The following is a 26,566-nucleotide window of genomic DNA, read 5'->3' as shown; positions in this document are numbered from 1 at the left end:
ATGCTTTCTCCATTTTTTTTTTTATCCAGTGGCTTATTCCCAGACCAAGAAAGTATATTTTTTTCTATCATTTTAACATAACTTGAGTTTACAAAATTGAAATTGAGATAAGCATTCAGATATAGGCACAAACCTATTATCTAAGAAAATAAAGTATGCTTCTTGTCCTTCCACTTCGAGTGTTGTTAGCCCAAGATATTCTTATAATCTCTCTGCATCGATCAGATTCAACCATCAATGGCTCAATGATAGAATTTAATTTTCTGTGAAGGCATAGCCTGAGGATAATGCCTTGAGTAATCTCTTCCAAGAAAGTGTCCTTGGATTTCTCTGTCTTTAAACAATCACTATTTATATCTCTCCTTATTATGAATGATACACTTAAATAATAGATAAAAATTTTTAACTTTCCAAAAGAAATAATCTCAAGGACTATAACATCACCAAAACTTTAGCCATATCTAAGAATATAACATTAAAAAATTAATTTTCTGTTTTATAGAAACACAAAAGATTTTTTTTTAGTTTCATTAGAAATTACTTTCACAATCACAATAGATTAATGTTAGATGTTTCACCACTTATCACAAAGCAATCCAAAAGCATTAAAATTTTTAGTGAGCAAAGTGAAAATCTAAAAATGTGAAACACATCTATCTTGGTAAATTATTTCATGAATTATTGAAAAGTTAATGACTTAACCAACATTTAAGCTAATGAAGAAGTTGGGGTGAGCATTTCCTTTCCTTATCATTTTACTGAAAAAGAACAACTCCAGAATGTATTTATTTCCCTAAATTGTATATTTTCATTAAGAGAATTGTTTATGCTGTGCTACTTTTGCCCTTGTTTGACAATTTCTATTGAGAAAAGCCTAAAATAGATAATGTGGGAAATATTAAAACGATAGTCTTTACACTTATCCACACCACACAGACACAACACAATCTGTCAAATGAGTAGCTTCTAGTGCATGCCTACTAAACAAGCATTAGAATAAAAAGAAAGTACAGAAATATATTGGCAAGCAGGCAAGTAGCTGGGTAAATTGATACCCGATTTGATTATAGAAACATTAAAAAAAAAATCAATGCTGGAAGGGGAAAAAACATGATGAAAAGCAACTCCTGTTTTAATAGAGATATGGATTTTTATACTCTTATTTATAAACTGGCCCTGAACAGGCAACATTACATTAACAAAATATTTGCCCAAATTAAATTATATATAGTGAGGAGTGGGAGAAAAGTTATTGCATCTGAATGTCTATTGGCTCAGTTTTTGCACAATATACATTAGTCATGTTGTGTCGTATGTTCTTATTTACCTCCTGGTGTGAATAAATTCTAACACTTACCACCAACAGGTGAATACTTCCCTTACTGCATCTAAATTTCTAGATTGACAGAGCTATTGAATACAACTAATGAAAAAGAGGGACAGAATGTAATGTCCAAAATAAGTAATGAGAGAGTGGAGGCAGAGCAAGATGGTGAAATAGAAAGTTCCACTGATAGTTGCCCCAAAAAGGAAAACAATTTAACAACTGTCTACACAGAAAAAAAAAACACCTTCATGAGAACCAAAAATCAGGTGTGCCCTCATAATACCTAGTTTTAACTATGTATCCCTGAAAGAGGCATTGGAGCGATAGAAAAAAACAGTCCTGAATCGCTGATGCTACCATTCCCCAACCCCAGGCAGAGGAGGCATGATGCAGAGAGCATCTCCGGGTGCTGGGGGAGGGAGAACACAGCAATTGTGAGGCACCGAACTCAGTGCTGTTTTGTTAAAACAGAAAGGAAAACCAGAAAAAACTCAGCCGACGCCCTCCCACAGAGGGAGCATTTAAACCAGCCCTAGCCAGAGGGGAATCACCAATCCTAGTGGTACAAACTTCAGTTCCTGCAAACATCGCCACCTATGGCTACAGCACTCTGTGTCTTCAAGTAAACTTGAAAGGCAGTCTAAGCCATAAGGACTGCAACTCTTAGGTGAGTCCTAGTGCTGAATTAGGCCCAGAGACAGTGGGCTGAGGGGCACACAACCTACCGAGACACAAGCTGGGGAGGATAAAGGAGGGTTGGCATCACTGATCCCCTAACCCCAGGCTGCACAGCTCATGGCACCAAAGGAGATCACTTCCACTTGAGGAGAGAAGAGGGAAGAATGCGGAGGACTTTGTCTTGCATCTTGGAAACTAGTTCAGACAGAGGAAGACACGGCAACTGTCACAGCTGTGGTGCACCCGTTCCAGGCCCTAACTCCCCAGCAATATTTCTAGACACACCTTGGGAAATAAGAGTATCTGCTGCCTTGAAGGAAAGGACCCGATCCTGGCAGTTTTTATCACCTACTAACTGAAGAGCCCTTGGGCCCTGAATAACCAGCAGTGATACCCAGGTACTACATCAAGGACCTTGGGTGAGATGCTGACACTTGCTGGCTTCTAGTGAGACTCAGAGCATTACCAGCTGTGACAGATAAAAGGTGATATGGTTTGGATCTGAGTCCTCACCAAAATCTCATGATGAATTGTAATCCCCATTGTTGGAGGTGGGGCCTGATGGGAAGTGATTGGATCATGGAAATGGCGTTCTTGTGAATGGTTTAGCACCATCCCCTCAGTGCAGTTCTCATGATAGTGAGTGAGTTATCATGAGATCTGGTTCTTTTAAAACTGTGTAGCAACTTCCCCTCTCTCTTGGTTCTTCTCTAACTATGTGAAGTGCTGCTACCCCTTTGCCTTCCACCATGATTGTAAGTTTCCTGAGGCTTCCTGAGAAGCAGTAGCCACTAAGCTTCCTATACAGCTTTCATAACTGTGAGCCAGTTAAACCTTTTTTCTTTATAAATCACCCAGTCTCCGATATTTATTTATAGCAATGCAAGAATGGACTCACGCAGAAAATTGGTACAAGGAGTGGGACATTGTAACAAAGATACCTGAAAATGTTGAAGCAGCTTTGGAATTTGGTAACAGGCAGAGGTTGGAAGACTGTGGAGGGCTCAGCAGAAGAAAGGAAGATGAGGGAAAATTTGGAAATTCCTAGAGACTTGTTAAATTGTTGTGACCAAATTACTGATGGTGATATGGACACAGATAGCCAAGCTGATGAGGCCTCAGAGATGAGGAGCTTATTGAGATCTGGAGCAAAGGTTACCTTTATTATGCACTAGCAAAGAACCTGGCAGCATTGTGCCTGTGCTCTAATGATCTGTGGAACTTTGAATTTGAGAGTGATGATTTAGGGTATTTGGGAAAAGAGATTTCTAAGCAGCAAAGCATTCAAGATGTTGCCTTGCTGCTTCTAACAGCCTATGCTCTTACATGTGAGCAAAGAAATTACATAAAACTGAAACTTATATTTTAAAAGGAAGCAGAGCATAAAATTTTGAAAAATTTGCAGCCTGGCCATGTGGAAGAAGAGAAAAAAAAAGTCTCCATTTTCAGGGGAGGAATTTAAGCTGGTTGTAGAAATTTGCATAACTAGGCCGGATGCAGTGGCTCACGCCTGTAATCCCAGCACTTTGGGAGGCCGAGGCAGGTGGATCACGAGGTCAGGAGATTGAGACCATCCTGGCTAACACAGTGAAACCCCGTCTCCACTAAAAATACAAAACATTCTCTGGGCATGGTGGCGGGCGCCTGTAGTCCCAGCTACTCCAGAGGCTGAGGCAGGAGAATGGCATGAGCCCAGGAGGTGGAGCATGCAGCGAGCCGAGATCGAGCCACTGCACTCCAGCCTGGGCGATGGAGCAAGACTCTGTCTCAAAAAAAAAAAAAAAAAAGAAATTTGCATAACTAAAAGGAAGCCAAGTGCTGATAGCCAAGACAATGAGGAAATCATCTCAAGGGCATTTCAGACACCTTCACCGTAGCACCCCCCATTACAGGCCCAGAGGCCTAGGAGAACAGAATGGTTTAGTGGGCTGTGCTGAGGACCCTGCTGCACTGCACAGCCTCAGGAGACTGCTCCCTGAATCCCAGTCTCTCCTGTTCCAGACATAGCTAAATGGGGCTCAGGATGCTGCTTCAGAGAGTCCAAGACATAAACCTTCATGGTTTCCACATGGAGGTAAGCCTGCAGGTACACTGAGTGCAAAAGTTGAGACTTGAGAGCCACTACCTAGAATTTTAGAGGGCATATGGAAAAGCCTGGATTTCCAGGAAGAAGCCTGCTCCAGGGGTGGAGCCCTCATGGAGAACCTCTATACACAGTCCCCTCTGGGGCACTGCCTAGTGGAACTGTAAGAAGAAAGCCATGATCCTCCACACTCCACAATGGTAGATCCACCAACAGCTTGTACCCTGTGCCTGGAAAAGCCACAAGCACTCAATACCAGTCCATGAGAACAGCCTCAGGGGCTGAACCCTGCAAAGCCACAGGGGCAGATCCGCCCAAGGCTTTGGGAGCCCACCGTTTGCACCAGTATTTCCTGGATGTGAGATATGGAGCCAAAGGAGATTATTTTGGAGCTTTAAAATTTAATAACTGCTCTGCTGTATTTGGGACTTGCATGGGGTCTGTAGCCCCTTTCTTTTGGCCAATTTCTTCCTTTTTGAATGAGAGTATTTACCCAATGTCTGTAAGACCATTGTATCTTGGAAGTAACTAACTTGTGTTTTATTTTACAGGGTCATAGACAGAAGGGACTAGCCTACTCTCAGATGAGACTTTGGACTTTGGATTTTTGAGTTAATGCTGGAATGAATTAAGACACTGGGGGACTGTTGGGAAGCATGATTTTATTTTGAAATGTGAGAAAGACATGAGATTTGGGGGAGGCCAGGGGCAGAATGATATGGTTTCGATCAGTGCCCCCACTCAAATCTCATGTCTAAATGTAATCCCCAATGTTGGATGTGGGGGCTGATGGGAGATGACTGGATCATGGGGGTGGAGTTCTCATGAATGATTTAGCACCATCCTCTTGGTGCTACTCTCATGATAGTGAGTTATCAGGAGATATGGTTGTTATAAAAGTCTGTAGCAGCTCCTTTTTCCCTTGCTCCTTTTCTGGCCATGTGAAGTGCTGCTCCCCCTTTGCCTTTCACCATGATTGCAGGTTTCCTAAGGCCTCCCTAGAAGCAGAAGCTGCTATGCTTTCTGTACAATTGGCAGAACCATGAGCCAATTTAACTTCTTTCCTTATAAATTACCCAGTCTCAGAAATTTCTTTATAGCATTGCAAGAATGGACTAATACACATGCTGAAATTCCTTTTGCTTGAAAAAAGCAGAGGGAAACGGAAAAAAAAGGACTGAGATCATGTCCTTTTCAGGGACATGGATGGAGCTGGAAGCCATTATCCTCAGCAAAGTAATGCAGAAGCAGAAAACCAAATACCACATGTTCTCACTTATAAGTGGGAGCTGAATCATGAGAACACATAAACACAGGGTGGAACAACACATATGGGGGTCTGTCAAAGGGTTGGGGGTGGGAGGAGGAAGAGTATCAAGAAGAATAGCTAATGGATGCTGAACTTACTATTTAGGTAATGAGATGATCTGTGCAGCAAACCACCACGGCACACATTTACCCATGTAACAAACCTGCATATCCTGGACATGCACCCTTGAGCTTAAAATAAAAGTTGGGGAAAAAAAGGAAAGAAAGATCATTCATTATCACCAAGTGGGATTTATACCAGGAATGCAAGGATGGTTCAATGTACACAAACCGGAGGGAGGAGCCAAGATGGCCGAATAGGAACAGCTCCGGTCTACAGCTCCCAGCCTGAGCGACACAGAAGATGGGTGATTTCTGCATTTCCATCTGAGGTACCGGGTTCATCTCACTAGGGAGTGCCAGACAGTGGGTGCAGGTCAGTGGGTGTGCACACCGTGCGCGAGCTGAAGCAGGGTGAGGCATTGCCTCACTCGGGAAGTGCAAGGGGTCAGGGAGTTCCCTTTCCTAATCAAAGAAAGGGGTGACGGACGGCACCTGGAAAATCGGGAAAATCGGGTCACTCCCACCCGAATACTGCGCTTTTCCGACGAGCTTAAAAAACGGTGCACCACAAGATTATATCCCCCACCTGGCTCGGAGGGTCCTACCCCACGGAGTCTCGCTGATTGCTAGCACAGCAGTCTGAGATCAAACTGCAAGGCGGCAGCGAGGCTGGGGGAGGGGCGCCCGCCATTGCCCAGGCTTCCTTAGGTAAACAAAGCAGCTGGGAAGCTCCAACTGGGTGGAGCCCACCACAGCTCAAGGAGGCCTGCCTGCCTCTGTAGGCTCCACCTCTGGGGGCAGGGCATAGACAAACAAAAAGACAGCAGTAACCTCTGCAGACTTAAATGTCCCTGTCTGACAGCTTTGAAGAGAGCAGTGGTTCTCCCAGTACGCAGCTGGAGATCTGAGAATGGGCAGACTGCCTCCTCAAGTGGGTCCCTGACCCCTGACCAGCCTAACTGGGAGGCACCCTCCAGTAGGGGCACACTGACACCTCACACTGCAGGGTATTCCAACAGTCCTGCAGCTGAGGGTCCTGTCTGTTAGAAGGAAAACTAACAAACAGAAAGGACATCCACACCAAAAACCCATCTGTACATCACCATCATCAAAGACCAAAAGTAGATAAAACCACAAAGATGGGGAAAAAACAGAACAGAAAAACTGGAAACTCTAAAAATCAGAGCGCCTCTCCTCCTCCAAAGGAACGCAGCTCCTCACCAGCAATGGAACAAAGCTGGACGGAGAATGACTTTGACGAGCTGAGAGAAGAAGGCTTCAGACGATCAAATTACTCTGAGCTACGGGAGGACATTCAAACCAAAGGCAAAGAAGTTGAAAGCTTTGAAAAAAATTTAGAAGAATGTATAACTAGAATAATCAATACAGAGAAGTGCTTAAAGGAGCTGATGGAGCTGAAAACCAAGGCTCGAGAACTACGTGAAGAATGCAGAAGCCTCAGGAGCCGATGCGATCAACTGGAAGAAAGGATATCAGCGATGGAAGATGAAATGAATGAAATGAAGCGAGAAGGGAAGTTTAGAGAAAAAAGAGTAAAAAGAAACGAGCAAAGCCTCCAAGAAATATGGGACTATGTGAAAAGACCAAATCTACGTCTGATTGGTGTACCTGAAAGTGATGGGGAGAATGGAACCAAGTTGGAAAACACTCTGCAGGATATTATCCAGGAGAACTTCCCCAATCTAGCAAGGCAGGCCAACGTTCAGATTCAGGAAATACAGAGAACGCCACAAAGATACTCCTCGAGAAGAGCAACTCCAAGACACATAATTGTCAGATTCACCAAAGTTGAAATGAAGGAAAAAATGTTAAGGGCAGCCAGAGAGAAAGGTCAGGTTACCCTCAAAGGGAAGCACATCAGACTAACAGTGGATCTCTCAGCAGAAACCCTACAAGCCAGAAGAGAGTGGGGGCCAATATTCAACATTCTTAAAGAAAAGAATTTTCAACCCAGAATTTCATATCCAGGCAAACTAAGCTTCATAAGTGAAGGAGAAATAAAATACTTTACAGACAAGCAAATGCTGAGAGATTTTGTCACCACCAGGCCTGCCCTAAAAGAGCTCCTAAAGGAAGTGCTAAACATGGAAAGGAACAACCGGTACCAGCCGCTGCAAAATCATGCCAAAATGTAAAGACCATCGAGACTAGGAAGAAACTGCATCAACTAACGCGCAAAATAACCAGCTAACATCATAATGACAGGATCAAATTCACACATAACACTATTAACTTTAAATGTAAATGGACTAAATGCTCCAATTAAAAGACACAGACTGGCAAATTGGATAAAGAGTCAAGACCCATCAGTGTGCTGTTTTCAGGAAACCCATCTCACGTGCAGAGACACACATAGGCTCAAAATAAAAGGATGGAGGAAGATCTACCAAGCAAATGGAAAACAAAAAAAGGCAGGGGTTGCAATCCTAGTCTCCAATGTACACAAACCAATCAATGTGATACATTGTATCAACAGAACGATAGACAAAAACCATATGATCATTTCAATTGATGCTGAAAAAACAGATGATAAAATTCAACATCATTGCATGATAAAAACCCTTTAACTGGGTATAGTAGGAACATACCTCAACATAATAAAAGCCATATATGACAGACTCACATACTTAATGAGAAAAAAACTGAAAGCCTTTTCTCTAAGATCTGGAACACAACAAGGATGCCAATTTTCACCACTGTTATTCAACATAGTACTGGAAGTCCTAGCTAGAGCAATCAGACAAGAGAAAGAAATAAAGGGGAACCAAATTGGAGTGGAAATAGTCTAATTAACCTTGTTTGCAGATCATATGTTCTTATATATGGAAAACCTAGACTCCACAAGAAAACTATTGAACTGATAAATAAATTCAGTAAAGTTGCAGGATTCAAAATGAACATACAAAAATCAGTAGCATTTCTATATGCCAACAGAGAACAATCTGAGAAAGAGATTAAAAAAGTAATCCCATTTACAATAGCCACACATAAAAACAAAAATCCAGAAATTAACTTAACTGAAGAAGTGAAAGATCTCCATAATAAAAGCTATAAAACACTACTAAAAGAAATTGAAGAGGACACCAAAAATTAGAAAAATATTCCATGTTCATGGATTGGAAAAAACAATATTGTTAAAATATTTATACTATTCACAGCAGTCTACAGATTCAATGCAATCCCTATCAAAATATCAATGACATTCTTCACAGAAAGAGAAAAAACAATTCTAAAATTTATATGGAACCACAAAAGACCCAGAATAGCCAAAGCCATCCAAAGCTAAAAGAAAAGTGGAGGAATTATATTACCTGACTTCAGTTTATACTACTGAGCTGTAGTGACCAAAACAGCATGATACTGGCATAAAAACAGACACATAAGCCAATGAAACAGAATGGAGAACCCAGAAACAAATCCGCACACCTACACTGAACTCATTTTTGACAAAGTTGGCAAGGACAAATACTGGGGAAAAAACAGTCTCTTCAATAAATGGTGCTGGGAAAGCTACATATCCGTATGTAGAAGAGTGAGGTCAAGGAAAGATCTATTACCCAAGAGTATTGCTTTTGTGCAGTCTCTCGGCAAAATACTCCTTCTTTATCCTGTCTCCAGGTTTACAACTTTTTTTTTTCTTTTCTTACCTGTGCAAAGTACAGCTGCTATCTTCATTCTGGTTTCAAGTACATCTTTCTTGTGTATTCCTGCTGGTTACAGAGTGTGTATCCTTGTGAACACAAGCATTAGGGACTTTTGACCACTAAGATTAATGTCAGAGTAAAGGAAGTTAGACGGGAATGGGAAGTCAGGGAATCCATGTCTCTAAATGAAGGTAACCGAAAGTGGAAGAAACCTTCTGGAGGATAAAGACACTAGAGTTTATCCTAAGTCACTACTCTGTCTACTGAGTAGAAACAGAGTAGAAAAGAACATGTTCCAGAAACAATGTATTTACTGAGCACAGATTTCTTTTAAAAGTTGACTAAAATCTCATCCAATTTAAAAAAAAAATCATTCCTAAATATTTATTCACTGAATCTGGTGCAATATCAACTTGAGATGTCCAATAAAGGTCAAGATTTAACTAAAAACACTTATCAAAATGATGTTGGCAGTGTTGTGCAGGACTGGAAGTGTTATGGTACATTTTCTAAATGTCATGGTCAAAATGAAAATATTTATCACTGTGAACACGTAGAAAATCCTCAATACATATTTGTCTAATGAATGGATGAAACTAGAGAAGAAAGCTTTTCATATGCATGTGCGCACACATGCGTGTGTGTGTGTGTGTGTGTGTGTAACATGACAAACTAGAAGCTTGTGAAGTCAGGTTGCTAATGCAGGTATTCCATGTGGAATACCTTCTTCCAATCTGTACTTGAAAATTAAATACATAGGTCCTATGACTGAGGAAAAATATTACAACTTTAAGCCAACTTAATTTTTACTTCTTTTAAATAAATATAACTACCACGACCCACTTTACTTTGTTTTGGTAGACATTCTATTTCAGAACTCTATTCAGTTATCAACTTAGAGTGCTGGTGGTTTTAAAGAAAAGACACTGGTAAATGTAATAATAATAACAATAATCTTAAATTTTATTCTCAACATTTGCTTATTGACTATTTTCTTTCTAAAATGTAAATGACCTCTTTAAAAGAACAAATTTATCAGAATGCACCTAGGTATTTCTATTGTCTTATTATTTTTTGGCTAAATTTGAGGCTAGCATAAAAATTGTGTAGCATCTTTATAACAATAAAGATAACATGACATTCAAAATCAGAAGATTCAATTTTTAGTCCTGGTTCCACACACAAGTAGCTGTATGATCTTATTAAAACAAACTTTAGGAGGCACTAAATCCACGGCATTAACTACCCTTATTGATGATAATGATGATAATAATGATGGTGACATTTACAGGAGCATTGATACTACAGTCGTCACTGCCATTGCCATCATCACCTTGTATTTATAGATTATTAGGCATTTAAGTAAATGCTTTACAAGTAACATCTCATTTAATTCTTACATTGACCCTACGATGTGGGCAAAATATTATTCTCATTTTACAAATAGGAAAAAGATGGATCAAAGAGATTAAGAAACTTACCTAGTTGCTCTACTTACAAGGGACAGAGCTGAGGTTTAAAACCAAATTTGCTCAATTCTAAAGTTTACATTCTTAAAAATTTAAGAATTTAAGCTCCATAGCAGGAGGAATTTTTCTTTTTTTCATTTTGGATTTTGGAATACTGCTATATCCTCAATCCCTATAAAAGTACCTGGCACAAAGTATACCTGCAATAAATATTTATAGGCTTAATAAAAGAATAAGCTATACTCCTTTATTCTTTAATTATATAATTATACATAATTGGAGCCAGTGTATAATAATTAATTATGAATCTTGGTTACAAGCATAAATTCTGGAACCGTATTATCGAGGTTCAACTCCTAGCTCTACCGCTTTACCTGTGTTACCCTTTTGCATTAGTTCTATAATGTGTACAATAGAGAAATAAGGGTTCCTGCTTCAGAATATTCGTAAAGTGCATTAAAAAAATTAATTAACTCAAACAGTAACTGCCATTTGTAAGAGTTATATATATGTTAGCTACTATTAATGGTAATTTATTTTAACACCTTTATTGATATACAATTTACATACCGTACAATTCACCTACTTAAAGTGTCAATTCAGAGGTTTTTTTTACTATATTCACAGATATCTGTAACAATCGCCATGGCCAATTTTTGGAACATTCTCATCACCTCAAAAAGAAACACCATATCCTTGATCTATCACCTCTTATATTCCCATTTCTCAACCCCCAAATTTAAACATTTACTATTTCCATCTCTATAAATTACCCTGTTCTGCACATATGAATGGAGTCCTATAATAGGTAGTCTTTTGTGACTAGATTTTTTTCACTTAGCATAATAGCTTCAAGATTTATCCATATTGTAGCATGTTTCAGTAATTCATTCCTTTTTTATGGCCAAATATTATTCATATATATATTTTATATATATTTTTATACATATTATTTTATATATATATATATACATACACACATTATTTTGTTTAAACATTCATCAGTTGATGGACATTTGAGTTGTTTGCACATTTAGCCATTATGAATAATGCTGCTATAAATTAAAAATATTCACCTCAAGTTTCTGAATGGACATATCTTTTCATTTCTTTTGTTTATGTACCTTGGAGTGGAATTGCTCCGTCATATGATAACTCTGTGTTTAACTGTTCGAGTGACTGCCAGACTGTTTTCCAAAGCAACTGTACTATTTCATATTCCCTCCAATGATGTATGAGTTTTCCAATTTCTCTATATCCTCACCAACAAGGTAATTTGTTTTTAACTCATTAACTTTATAGTTCAAAACTAACTATTCCTATCCAAATATTTTTAAAGACTATAGGCAGGTATCCAAAATTGGTTTAATTATATTAATACAATTATGTAGCATAACTATTCTACTATATGAAGTGACATTTGTCAAAAAAGTGCCAAACTCATCCTTTCAAAGGGTTGAAAAATTACTCATTACCTAATATGAATTTACCCATCATTTCAAATACATATTTTAAATAAGGAAATTCCCTCCGTTAGAGCGAATGACAATTTTTAAAAGATTATCAAATTATTATGTATTAAAATCCCAACAACTGTATAACACTGTTAAAGTCCGAAAAAAAGACAATTGGAAGAAGAGACACAATATCATGGGACGATGATATTGCAGTTACCGGACAAGGACTAAGGAAATTAGGAGTATTTGATTGAGTCTACTTGAAATGATTTTTTACGAATCCTGCATCTTGGAATTGGAACATGCAGATTATATAAAGTACTATAATGAAAGCCAAATTAAAGGGGATAAAAACCAATGCTATTCTCAAAATGGATCCTAGGGTCCATCTAACAAAGCTTAACAGGGACAAAATATTCTCAAAACAATGTAGAAGCAGAATATTATGGCTACTGCCAAATTCCCAGCTTCTTAGCAGGAGACACAGTTGAATTAGAGTACAGTTGCACCTTATTCTCACATAATTGTTTTGGCTTATTCAAAACCCTAGTCTTGCCCTGAAACATTCTTTACTATGTTAGTAACAAAAGCAATGTGACAGGCACATCTGCTTTCTGAAAAGATTGCATGTCAGTTGAAACAATGTTTTATTTTTAATAGTTTGAATTTTGCATAAAGATACCTTTATTTGCTGCTAAAGATCTATGCAAATGGCTCCAACATCACTTTAAATTACAGATCATCTTAACGTGTCACTCTTGTGGCATGTGAAAATCTGACTGAGAATGTATATTGTGTCTATTAAAGCTTGTAGATGTTTGCACAATGAACATAAAACCAATAAAGTGATTACGAGAATAAACAACAGAATACAAATGATCTTTCTTATTTACTAGAAGGAAAGCATTTTTTAAAAATGTAATAGCTTCAATACTGTTTAATTCTGTGAATATCTGGTTTTCATATTAGATAATAGTATGACAAACTATATATATATACATACATATATATGTATGTATATATATGTGATAAGAAAAAAAGATTAAAAGCTTGCCTTTATATCAAACTCCAGGACAGATAAAAGGGTATTTAAAAGGAGAATTACTGGCCGGGCACAGTGGCTCATGCCTGTAATCCCAGCACATTGGGAGGCCAAGGCTGGTGGATCACCTAAGGTCAGGAATTCGAGACCAGCCTGGCCAACGTGGTGAAACCCTGTCTCTACTAAAAATACAAAAATATTAGCCGGGCATGGTGATGGGCGCCTGCAATCCCAGCTACTCAGGAGGCAGAGGCAGAGAATTGCTTGAACCCAGGAGGCGGAATTGCTTGAACCCAGGAGGCGGAGCCAAGATCGCACCACTGACTCCAGCCTGGGCGACAGAGTGAGACTCTGTCTCAAATAAATAAAATAAAATAAAATTACTAAAACTTATTCCTTCAATCTATGTTTGATAGCACAGTAGAGTAACTATAGTTAATAATAATTTATTAAACATTTCAAAATATCTAGAAGATTTGGAATGTTCCCAACAAAAAGAAATGACAACTGCTTGAGGTGATGGATATCCTAACTACCCTAATTTGATCATTACACATTGCATGCATGTATCAAAATATCACATGTACCCCATAAGTATGTATGCTTATTATTTGTCCATATTAAAGAAAAAAATAAAATAACATTACTATTTCATTAGTATGGGCCTTAAGTGAAAGTAAAATGCTATTATAGTAATTTTAATTAAAGACTAGTTATATATATAACTAACTTTCTGATACTGACTTGAACCTAGAATGTGGCTGCATTCCTTTTGATTTATCCCTAAGGATTTAGTTTCAAGGTAATATTTCCTAGCTTATAACAGATTGAGAAGTTATTATAATTGCCTGATACCTGGTTCCATCTCTTGTTTATTTCCTAGGTGGGAAACATATTGTCTTCTGGGATTATCATATAGTTTCCCTGAGTTCTTAGTTGATGCTACTCTATTCTCTCTGTTTCAAACTCCTCTAGCAATTCCATGCTGAACTTCCACTTTCAGTGCATTTTCTGTGAAATTTTCAACTTTATTTCAAATCACCTAAGAAAAGTGAAGTTCAAGACAAAGCCACTCATTTTTTTCCAGTTGAATTCATTATTTTTATGTTTGTCAGGTTTCACTAAATTGTTGTCAGGTTTCACTAAACCTGTCTCAATACTATCAACTCAAATAATGCACAATAGCTACAGAGGGTGAAATAACGCCCTCCAAAAACTCATGTCCACTCACAACTCAAAGTGTGGCCTTATTTGGAAATAAGGTCTTTGCAGATGTAATTAGCTAAGACTCTAGAGATAAAAATCATCCTGGATTTAGGAATCCCTAGATCCAACGACTGACGTCCTTATAAGAAAAAGGCACACAACAACACATGAAGAGAAGGCCATGTGAAGATGGAGGCAGAGATTGGAGTGGTGCAATTAGTAGCCAAGGACAGCCAGTGCAACCAGAAGCTGGAAAAGACACGGAAGAATTCTTACCTAGAGCTTTCAGAGGGAGCACGGCTCTGAGAACACCTGATTTCAGACTTCTAGCCTGCAGAACTATGAGAGAATAATTTTCTATTGTTTTAAGCCACCAAACTTCGTGGCAATGTGTTATGGCAGTCCTAGAAAACAATACAAGTAACCAAAGAGACATGCTTCCACCTCAGGAAAAGAGGAAGCTAGTCAGAAAATGGGTTGTTCCATCAGTTAACTAATTTATTTTTTTTAAATGCCTGGAAAGACTGTTGACCACAAATATGTAAGTTTCTGGAGAGTTGAGATGAATAAGTAAGCATGACACATGGAAGAAGTATCAGGCTTTAAATAGCCAAATACAGGTTACAGTCCCAGTAAATACAGTTACTCTTCATTAGTAAAGCATTTTGCAATAGCCTATTTGGTACTATGTGCAAGCTTTCTAAGTCATAGAAAATGAATGCGATAAGGCTTCTGTCCTAGAGGAACTCAGAGTTTAATCGACTCATAGTTTAGAAGCTGAAATAGATAATTACTAGATAAGTGTTATCGTGGGCAGATAAATAAAATGCTGGCAATACTCTAAGGGATCAAAGAGCTGTGTGACACTGAGCAAGTCCTTGAATCTCAAATTATTAATCTGTAAAATTGGAATAACAACAACATACACCTTCTATCTTTAGAAGTCATTTTGAAGGTCATGTAAAATCCTCTTTCTCTCCATTCCTCCTTTCTTTCTTCTTATACGTCAACTATTTTTGACATCAACTATTTTTAAGTGTTCTCTGAACCAGACATTCTGTTAGGTATTTAATATATATTATCTGAATTTATTTTTAAATATTTTATCATAGTAAATATCCTACTTTTACATTTTTAAAAATGAGAAACAGAGATTTCTACTATTTGCCAAAATCACATCGACTGTAAGTAAGTATGTAAAACTCTTTTCAGGTCGGGCACGGTGGCTTACACCTATAATCCCAGCACTTTGGGAGGCTGAGGCAGGTGGATCACCTGAGGTCAGGAGTTCAAGGCCACCTGGCCAACATGGCGAAACCCCGTCTCTACTAAAAATACAAAAATTAGCCAGGCATGGTTCCGGGCACTGTAATCCCAGCTACTCGGGATACTGAGGCAGGAGAATCGTTTGAACCCGGGAGGTGGAGGTGGCAGCGGGCCGAGATTGTGCCACTGCACTCCAGCCTGGGCGATAGAGTGAGACTCTGTCTCAAAACAACAACAACAACAAAAAAGTAAAAAAAAAATCTTTTCACCACAACTTGTTGCTATATAACTTAGATATAAATATGTACAAAATAAATATTATACTACTGGGAGTTCATGTCCAATATGCCCCAACGCCTATGAATAAGTGAGTTAGATGATGAAAACGATGGGAAATATGCATGAATAATTATGAGTAGATGAATATTATGTAACCTCTGTAGTACTTTGTTTCCTAATTAAATGATCATCTATGCTACAGGAAGAACATTCCGATATGTTTCTACAGTATAGGCATTTGAATTAATTTTAGTGTTATGCAATTACATTTGTATTTACCTCATGAAGTTCTCTAAGTTAATTCCCCCCCAAAATTTACAATTAGATTTATACTATCTATTAGGATATTCGGTATTTTTAAATATGCAAGTAACATGGCCAGCCCCTAACATGGATCGTTTAATCAGTTTGAGTATTAATCCATTTATTTTTATAATGTAGTTAAACTATTAAATTGTACAATTGACAAATATTTCAATTCAACCATTTTAGGTCTCTACTCACTTTCCCCATGGTTAATCAAGGTGCATCATATGTAAGGAGAACCTCCTTTGTGTGGACAAAAGGCCAAGGTTTAACAATCTATCCTCCCTTCATGTAGGAAGGACTGCCCAATGTGTCAAAGCTGGGAAATCTACAGCTTAGGATAAATTTTTGTCTCCTACACCATTTCTAACCCACTCATTCATTCACCAGGCTAGTTGCTCATTCATTTATTCATTCACCAGGCTAGCTTTTAAGTATACAGAGATTGCCAGAATAGACATACTCATCTTTGTCCTCACAGAGATTAGAGTCTCCTTAAGGGAACAGAGACAAGAGTATAGTGATGTCAAAATAGTCTGGCAACTTTTTCTTCATTAATAGAGGTATCATTGTATAATTTTGTCTCTCAGAATAATTTATAAATATTTAGTTACAGCTTTAGCAGAGATATACAATAAGCATTACTTCAGGGGCAACTTAATATTTACCACAGCTCAATTCCAATATCTATCATGCTGCCAGATTTCCATAATACAGAAATAAAAGCAGTCCTCCTGAGTGATCCACGAAGTCTTGAATTATCAAAGGCTTACATTAAAACTGCATAAGATAGGGTCTGAGCTTTATTTAAAAAGGTATTTCATTCCCCTAGAGGCTCATCCGCCTCAGGCGTCTTCCCAGTATTTAGCTCTTAAAGTATCTAAAATATTTTAAACTTGTACATATGTACTCTTTGTGAATCTATCATATAGATCTCCTTTTTTCCCAGTTTATCATATTGTGCAGCTCTTATTTTCAGTTTCCAACTCAACATAAAACACTGGATGGTTCCACTGATCTTTCTGGCTGAGTTTATTCGCACCAGAGCTCTGTATTCAGGACATTTTTATTTTTACTATTAATTGCTTATCATTGGTACTTTTGGAAGAATGATAGAGTTGTATTTCTTTGGGAACGCTAATTATGGAATTTCCTCAATCAACAAATATTATTGAGCATCCACTATGTGACAGGCATAGCACTTTAGATCGCAGGCTCTGGGAGCAGACTGCCTCTCTCAAAACCCAATTCTACCACTTAACTCTATGACCGTGGGAAAGTTACTTAATTACTCCAACTACTTTGTTCTTAAGTCTATTAATCTGTAAAACACCAATGACAATAGTGAGTATAAGAAACGGTGGCTGTGAGGGCTAATTGAGTTAACACAGTAAAGCACTAACACACAGTCCTGTAGTAAGCACTTAACAAATTCTGGTTATTATTTTGATGACGATCATTATTTTAATTATGCACTGTGTGAAACCTTGAGAATACTATGATTCAAAAAGAAACAATCTTACAATCCACTGACCAAGTCAGCTACTAAAAATTACTTAAGGAAGATCAATTAATTGCTGATATGTATAAAAGTGCTTTGAATGACAGTAAAAGACTGTGAGTGGGAAAACTTTTGCTTTAGGGTCCCAAGGGAATCATTAGCTTGTGAAAATTACAGAAAATTGTATAATACTGATCTAGTTTGCCTAAAGCATAGAAAATATGTTTTAAAAAATAAAACATTTTATTCAGCTAGTGATTACGGTCCAAAAGTAAAAAAGCTAGGTTCATTGAAGGCTTTAAACATGTATAAATCTCCAGAGCCACAAGACTTAATGCATGCCCCTTAATGTTAAATCAATAGTGAAACAGAGGTTTCTATCTTAGGCTCATGGGATCAGACTCTTGGCCCAGATTATCAGCTCGTTATCATATTCATTCTAATTGTGGCTCATCTTGAAATGATTAGATCTATTGTTAGAAAGTGGCCTTGTCAGCGCTAAGGATGCAGTGATTAATAGATAATTCAGAATAATTTCTTTGGATATATGTCTAAACTCTCAATCGAACTGTAGACCCAAATTATTAAGTGATTACAGGAATTTTAATTTCTACCCTTTATTCACATTCATCTCCACAGGAAGTAATTATTGCAAGCAAAGAATAGCAGAAATCAAAATATTTTATAACTAGTCATCTACAGAGAGATAGAAAAACTTAAAGTGGGCTACGTGAACAACCCTTGATATCATAAGCCAAAATTAAAGTATACCATTAAAAATGCTGTAACAAAATCTGGTTTAATTTAGATGAAGGTCAAACTTACTGTTGGTGGTATCAAGACCTTTTTTCCCACTACTAAGGCATCTTTAGTTATTTTGGAGGTATAAATAAGCTATTCTAAAATTATATGGAAAGGCACATGACCTAGAATAATTAAAACAATTCTGAAAAAGAATAAAATGGAAGGAATCACTCTACCTTACATTAAGGCCTATTAAATAGCTACAATAATCAAGACAGTGAGGTACTGACAAGGGAATAGAAACATAGATAACTGGAACAAAGTAGACCACCCAGAAATAAATTCTCACAAATGTCTGATCGATTTTTGAAAAGGGCGCAAAAGTGATTCAATGAAGGAAGGGTATCCTTTTCTATAAGTGTTTCTCATGCAATTGGATATTTATAAATAAAATAATGTACCTTGATTTAAACTTCATACTTTACACAAAAATTAATTTAAAATTTAATTCAAAAATTAATTCAAAATTAACTCAAATGTAAGGTGTAAAATTATAAAACGTCTACAAAAATATTTTTTAAAATTTCAGAATTTAAGGTTAGGCAAAGTGCTTTTGTACTTGACACCTAAAGTGAAATGCTTACAAGGTGAAATTGCTTAATTAGATTTCATTAGAAATGAAATCTTATGATTTACAAGATTCTGTGAGAAGATTGGCAGAAAATATTTGCAATTCACATATCTGAAAAAAGGAATAATATCTACACTACTAATGAACTTTAAAAATTCAATAGTAAAAAAAAGAGAGCAGTTCAGTCAGAACACGGACAAAACTATCAACTGCTATTTCAACAAAGAGTAAATCCGAATGTCAAACATGCACAAGAAAAGATGTTCAGCAGAGTTAGCCATCAGGGAAATGCAAATTTAATCCACAATGAGATATCATTATACATCTATCAGAATGCTAAATTTAATAATAATAATAATAATACCACCAAATGCTGGAGAGGTTGCAGAGAAATGAATCAAGCATACATTGCTGATGGCAATAAAGTGGTATAGACATTCTGGAAAAAAATTTGGCAGTTTCAAAACTAAACATGTGACCTAGCAATTACACCTTTGGACATTTATTTCAGAGAAATTAAAACTCATATTTACACAAAAGATTGTACACTAATGTTCATAGCTTTATTCATAATAACCAAAAATTCAAAACAGCCTAGGTGGCCTTCAGCAGGTGAGTAGGTAGACAAATTGTGGTACATTCATACCATGGAATACTACCCAGTAATAAAAAGGAATGAACAGCTGATGCACACAACAACTTGAATGAACCTCCAGAGAATTATGCTAAGTGAAAAAGCCGATCCCAAAATGTTACATACGAGGTTTCACTATGTTGCCCAGGCTGGCCTCAAACTCCTGGGCTCAAGCAATCCTTCTACCTCAGCCTGCCATATAGCTGGAACTACAGGTGTGTACCAACATGCCTGGCTTACATGCATTCTTAAAATCCCAAAATTATAAAAATTGAGAACAGATTAGTGGTCGTCAGAGGTTACGCATAAAGAAGGGTAATGAGATAAAGATGAGTATGGTTATAAAACGGCAACAGGAGAGGTCATTTTGGTGATGGAACTGTTCAGTATCTTTTTTTTTTTTGAGATGGAGGTTTCACTCTGTTGCCCAGGCTGGAGTGCAGTGGCATGATCTCAGCTCACTGCAGCTTCTGCCTCCCGGGTTCAAACGATTCTCCTGCCTCAGCCTCCCGAGTATGTTCAGTATCTTGACTCTGGTGGTGGATACATGAACATACACATGTGATAAAATTGCACAGAGCTGAATACACACATATATACAAATGAGTGTACATGTGATATTACACTATACTTTTGCAAGATCTTAGACAACAGGTAAGAAAACCAGGAGATCTCTTTGTTTTATCCTTAAAACATCATGCCAATCTAGAATTGGTTCAATAAAAATTGCAATGTAAACTATTTTGAGTTCAAAAGAAACTAACCAAGGAAAAGCAGAATTTTGAGAAGCCAACAAGTTGTCATGTCTGAGGCATAATATATTGGCTGTAATCATTGTTTCTGCTGTGACAGACATTCACTGAGAGGAATGTCCACTTTTTACAGTTTTAACAAATGATTAGCTCTTAGTAATTAGATTTTGTTTTTCATGCTCGGGGCTTTAAAGAAATGACAAGGGACAATTTTTAAAAGTGGAAAATAAAATAATATCTAACCAAGAAACTGGAAAGGTCTCATCAGGAGAACTATTTTATTTGGACTTCATTGCAGCATACCTTTCATGTGAGTCATTAGTGACAAGATGTAGATATATTGAAAAGAATATATTGTTTTTCATAAGTCGTTGCACACCATTTCTTTGTTGATGCATTCATTCAGTCTTTCTAATTTTATTTAGCACTTTAAGAAAAGAACTTTATATGATGTATATCTTCACATTTTTAAAAGAACTATAGTCACCTATATATGCATTCAATAAACATCAAAGCCAGCGGGTCTTTATTACTTCTTGCAAGTTGACCGTAATTTATAATAACTCTGCTCAAAATATGATGGAATTTACTTGGACCACTATTCTCATTTATATTTAAATGCATACCATTAAAATCAGTGCAACTTTATCATGACTATTTTAATATCAGCCCCTGTGCATCATCAAATGAATATATACTAAGCAACATTCTTCTGAGGCAGTGTAACCTGAATTAAAAATGTATACACAAACTATATTGTCATTTACAATTTCAAAATTTTTGCTGAGATTCATAAAAAAGAACCCAGGCCAGCATTAAACTGTGATTGTCAGACATAGAGACAGAGTTCTAATACTTATCAGGCAAACTTTAAGTGATCGAGAAAAGTAAACTGCTAAAAAAAAAAAAGTAGTTTATTCTACTACAACTTCTGAAAACAGAATTGTGAAATTTTCCCTTAGCACAGCCATATATTTGAGTATAATCCCAATATTATGATTGGGAAAGTTGACCAAATAATTATTAACAATGTAAAAATTTATTTTAAAATACAAGCTTTGACATTTAAAATGTAATAGATAAATTTTATCATATGTCTAATTATATTTCAAAGAAGCTGTGAAGAATGTTAATGACAGAATATAGATAGTGTGTTGTTTCAGGCAGAATTCTAAGATGCTCCACCCAGTGATCCCCATTCTTGTATAACCCCCTGTACTTTGTGAGTAGAACCTATAAATATGATGAGACATTACCCTTGTGATAATGTGGCATTATATGACATAAAGGCCGATTAACTTGGCGGGGTCTCCTAATCAGGCAAGTCCTTTAAAAGCAGAGAGATTTCTCCAGCTGATCAAAGAGAAGGAACTCAGAGAGATGCAGAGCATGTGTTCTAGAAGAAAACAAGTATCCATGTCGTGTGCTGCCTATGTTGAAAGCCGTGCATCAAGGAACTGCAGGTGGCTTCTAGACACAGAGAATTGTTCCCAGACTGTAGCTAGCATATAAATGGAGACCACTGTCCTCCAACATCAAGAAAATAAAATTTGAAAACAACTAGTGCATTTGTGAAAGGATTCTGATCCCAGAGGACCACAGTCCTCCTTAATGCCTTGATTTCAGCCCCATGAAACCCTGAACAAAGAATCCAGTTATGCTGTGCTTGGACTTCCAACCTATAAAACCTATGAGATGATAAATATGTGTGTTCTTCTTAAGTCACTATGTGTTAACTAGCATTAGAAACAAATAAGTCTGTATACTATTATTCACTGTAAAATTATTTCAAATTAGTTGTATGTTTGAACATTCTCCTAATTAAATGTTGAGATAAAAATTAAAAATTCTAAAAGGGTGAGCAATATAGAAGTGGCTTGTTAATCTTCACAGCTGTAATAAGCATTGGTCTCTGGAAAAATAAAGGATCCTACATCCCAATCTTAGGCATAATTCATCTGAGTATGTGCCAGAAGTTGCAGAAATGTGTAATGGAGGATAATAAATAACTATGGTATACACTGCATTATGAAGTAGAAATAAAGTACTCTGAGTTACATCAAAATTTTCAATCAGACAGTTGGTTCCCTTAATGTATGAACTAATGTCTGACACATCGATCTCTTTAGTTGTCTGGCGAGAGAGTAATATGTATTGTCAGTAATGCAGAATTACATGATTCAATAAAGATCTTTTTAAAAGTCTTCTGGACAAAAGTTATCATTTCATTTACAGTTCCTCTGCATCAGTACTCAAGTTAATTTTCATGGTTAAGTATATTAAAATTTATAGAAATGAAATTTACCATGAATATTACAAAGCATGTGTGATTCCCATTTGAAACCAGTTTATTTCTCTGCAGAATGGTTTTTAAATTTGGCATCTTAATAGGACTGATCATCTATATTAGTTTTAAGTCTACGCCTGGTGGACTCCAAAACAGCAATCTATATATAAATTAACTAAATAAGAAAAATGAATAGCCAAATATCAGTGATAAATGGAATATATTTATGGTAACAAATTACATATTAAACACAATATCACAACATACAGACTTCATCTTCTTGCTTCTTGAGTCAATATTTAAGGAGTGATTCACTCATTTCACAAACTTTTATTCCATTTCTAATATACGAGACATACATTCAAAATAAATTTAAGAAGAATGAGCAATGGATGAAAATAAAGGCTGATAATATCTGGCAAGATGAAGTGAAATGACTACAAGTAAGATAGGTAAAACATATTTCAAAGACATGAAGAAAGGTAACATATCAATCTGTGGATGGAAAAAAAAACATGAAAAATAAATTGACTCTTTTTCTAGAATAATGAGTGAAATGCTTTGTTGTAAGCCTATGTGATTCAACAGCCACATATTGGATAGTAAGTCTCTACCAGTAGCTACTGAAGAGTGTATGTGTGTAATAAATGTGCAGTATTCATAATAATTAAGATATAGTTTATTGAGCACTTATTATTTTTAGGCATTGTTACTTTACATGTATTTTATAGGCAATATTTATTTAATTGTATGAATTATATACAATTATTTTGCCAGTCTAGACAGCCATATATTACCTAGTTGTATGCACAGACAACAGCAACAATAATTATAAACAGCAGCAGCAGCAACATCTAGAATTTATGAGAATTTACAAGAGTCAGCCATTAATATGAGACCTTGTGTTACCTATATTATCTCATTTAACCTTTGTAACAACCCCCCAAAGTAGTTGTTTTTTTCCTTAAACTCCCACTACATAGATGAAGAACATGTAATGCACCCAAATTAGTCACCTTCTAAATGGCAAAAATAGGACTAATGCACATCTGTCTGAATTCCATTTAACATCATGCATAATGCCATTCTGCCTATTGAATATGATGCTGTCTGCAAATGACATTATATAAATATGATCCTAGAAAATTAGATGTCTATGTAAACTATTCACAGTACACACATATACAACACATGTACACACAAACATTATAATTACTGACCTTCATTTTAGTCTTATAATCCCCAAGCAACACAAATAACCAATGTTTTCAAAGTCACAAGATGCATTTTAAAGTTTTTTTAGTTTTCAAACATCTCTAAAAATTTTGAAAGCATCTTGTGACTCTCAGACACATAAAATTGTGGCTAAACTATGCTTTATTTCAAAGATGCGGAAAATTTATCTTGTAGAAAAGGCACTTTTAAAAGCCAATGAGTTTTCTATGGATAAAATATTGAGATAAGCTTGCTGTGTTCATGACTGATAAGAAACAAAAATGTGTAGTTAGAGCACTCTATCACAGATTAATGCCATTAGTAGGTAAATTCCTGACTGCCCTGAGGCTGTAAACAATTGTCCATTGAGTTATTCTGCCCTGACAAGTTGCTGACTTGTATTATTCATGCTTTGGCATAAGTGGTTTTATAAATGATGGACTTCTTTCATCATCTGTGATTAAATATGGGTGCAGAAACCAAGGGAAACAACCACAACAAAACTAGAACTGAAGATTGAAGTTACTGCTGTGGAGCTTTAAGAGGTTAAGGAGAGATAAGGGGGTACTTGTTAGAGGTGCTTAGTGAACATTGATAATCTCCTAAAGGGAATTTATGACTTCTTTTGAAATTATATCCCTGTACTGACAATTGGACTATAACAATAATAGAAAGAAAATTTACTATAAACAATGAGAACTATCTTTTATTGAGTTTACTATGTGCCAGGCATTATGCTAAAGCCTTACATGCATTATCTTATTAAATTCTCCAAATACACTTCTGTATTTGGAAATGTTACTGTCCCATTTTACAGATGAGTTAAATGAAACATACTGAATTTAAGTGATTAAATGCCAAAAAAGGATAAATTGCTCACAGTAACAGAGGTAAAATTAGCAGATATGAAATTTCAACTCAAACTCATCTGATTCCAAAGCCTGCTATACTGACAAAATAAAAGCCATTGATAAAATTATTGATCTTTATGGATTTCATTTTCTGTAATCTAAATCTGATTATAAATTTAAAATAAATAGTAAAGGATATTTTGCTATATTAATAAATTTTTAAAATATACTTTAAAAAAACCACAAATTTCTCCTCCTATAAAAGATCAAGTTTAGCTGTATACTAGAATGACAAAAATGAAGAATTCTCCTGCACAGACTCCAATCTGTCAGATAAATCATGGCAGGTGTCTTTTTTTCTTCAACAATTTAAAGAATTGAAAATCACAGTTTCTAAGTTGGATTTACAATTTTGATTTACTTGGCAAAAGCTTTCACCAGACAAATTGTCTTCATTAGAGAAGAAAAAATAAATTGATTCCCTCATTGATAGTCTCAGTGAGCATCAAGTTGTCTAAGTCGGCATCTCATTGTACATTGTGGACAATTTCTAAGAGTATTTTATGAAAATTTATTTTCTCTTTGTAGGCCTATTAAGCAGTACCAACATATTAACCAGATAAAAGGATTTATGCCCATATTTTCAAAATAAACAGAAAATATTTTTCTAGACTCTATACATAGTAACATAATGCATAAGAATGGCCACAATCACCAGTATGATTTTATCAATACCTGCCAGGCTTCTCTTCTTTGCTGGCTTGATTCTTACTAGTTCTTTATGGAGTGATTTTTAGCCTTTTGTAAAAACATGTGTTTCTTCTTTATCTTCTATACATTTTCCCTATCATTACCTAATTCTTGTGGAGCATCAAGGCAGTAAGGTAAAATTTTAGAAACAGGAAAGTATGTCAATGAGTCATAAGAGGAATTGGTTATAAGGTTAAGACAAGTGCTACTTTGACAAATTTAAAAACCATTATTAAGAAAAATACACAAAATAATTAAGATCTAGTTTTGTGTTACCTATTTGTTTTCTCACAATGCAAATAAACATAGCTCATTTTCAAAATTATTTTTCATTAAAAAAATCTGCTTCCCTATCTCTGAGTATCTAATCCCATTCACTAGTCCAATTTGTTCAAGACTTACAGTAGGGGATCTGGAATGGTTTTCAGATGGCAGCTAACCATGCCTTAAGTCTCCATGGTACGTTAATTCTTTGTTCTTCCGATGTTCAAAATAGTCACAGTAATCAAATCTACTTAAGATATATTTGGATAAGCAAATTCAGATTTCTTTGGTAAAATGTTGAGAAATGAAATATCTTAATACAGACTGTTAGCATTTTGTTATATGAAAAATAGATAATTTTTATTACAATTATATTAGCATATGGAAATGTCAGTTTGTGGTAATGTGGTGGTAGTTGATTAGGCCATCTTATCCAATATTATCTGTATTTATTAGGGAAACATTAGTTCAATACCGTGATAACATGTTTTTCAGATAAAGAAAGCCAAAATCCTACCCCGGGCTGTACGTGAAGGATGACAGTCCACTCTGAGATGCATTGCAAGCTATTGTTTGATCAATAATCATTTAGTTTTGATTTGCAGTTCAAGCAAGTGCAAAGCTGGATTCTTCTCAACATGATCCCATTGCATATGCTTCCAAATTGGTTCTTCAAAAAAATTAACTCTACTCTTTTATTCATTCCCTTATGAAATAATAAAATATAAAGATAATTTTGAATGGTGAAGTCTTACTCTGTTTGCTTTATCAAAGCTCTAGAGCTGCAA

At 36.1% G+C, this 26,566-nt stretch overlaps 1 protein-coding gene across 14 annotated transcripts in view; it reads right to left on the bottom strand.

Moving 5' to 3' along the window:
• The window catches only part of PCDH11X (protocadherin 11 X-linked), an 843,856-nt gene that overhangs the window by 361,071 nt on the left and 456,219 nt on the right, over nucleotides 1-26,566 (bottom strand). The gene's annotated exons all lie outside the window — the stretch shown is intronic.

This window comes from Homo sapiens, chromosome X (genome assembly GCF_000001405.40).
Source record: "Homo sapiens chromosome X, GRCh38.p14 Primary Assembly".
Classification (NCBI taxonomy): Eukaryota; Metazoa; Chordata; class Mammalia; order Primates; family Hominidae; genus Homo; species Homo sapiens.
The sequence above is the reverse complement of the archived record's forward strand: the minus strand, read 5'-3'. Positions and strand labels throughout refer to the sequence as shown.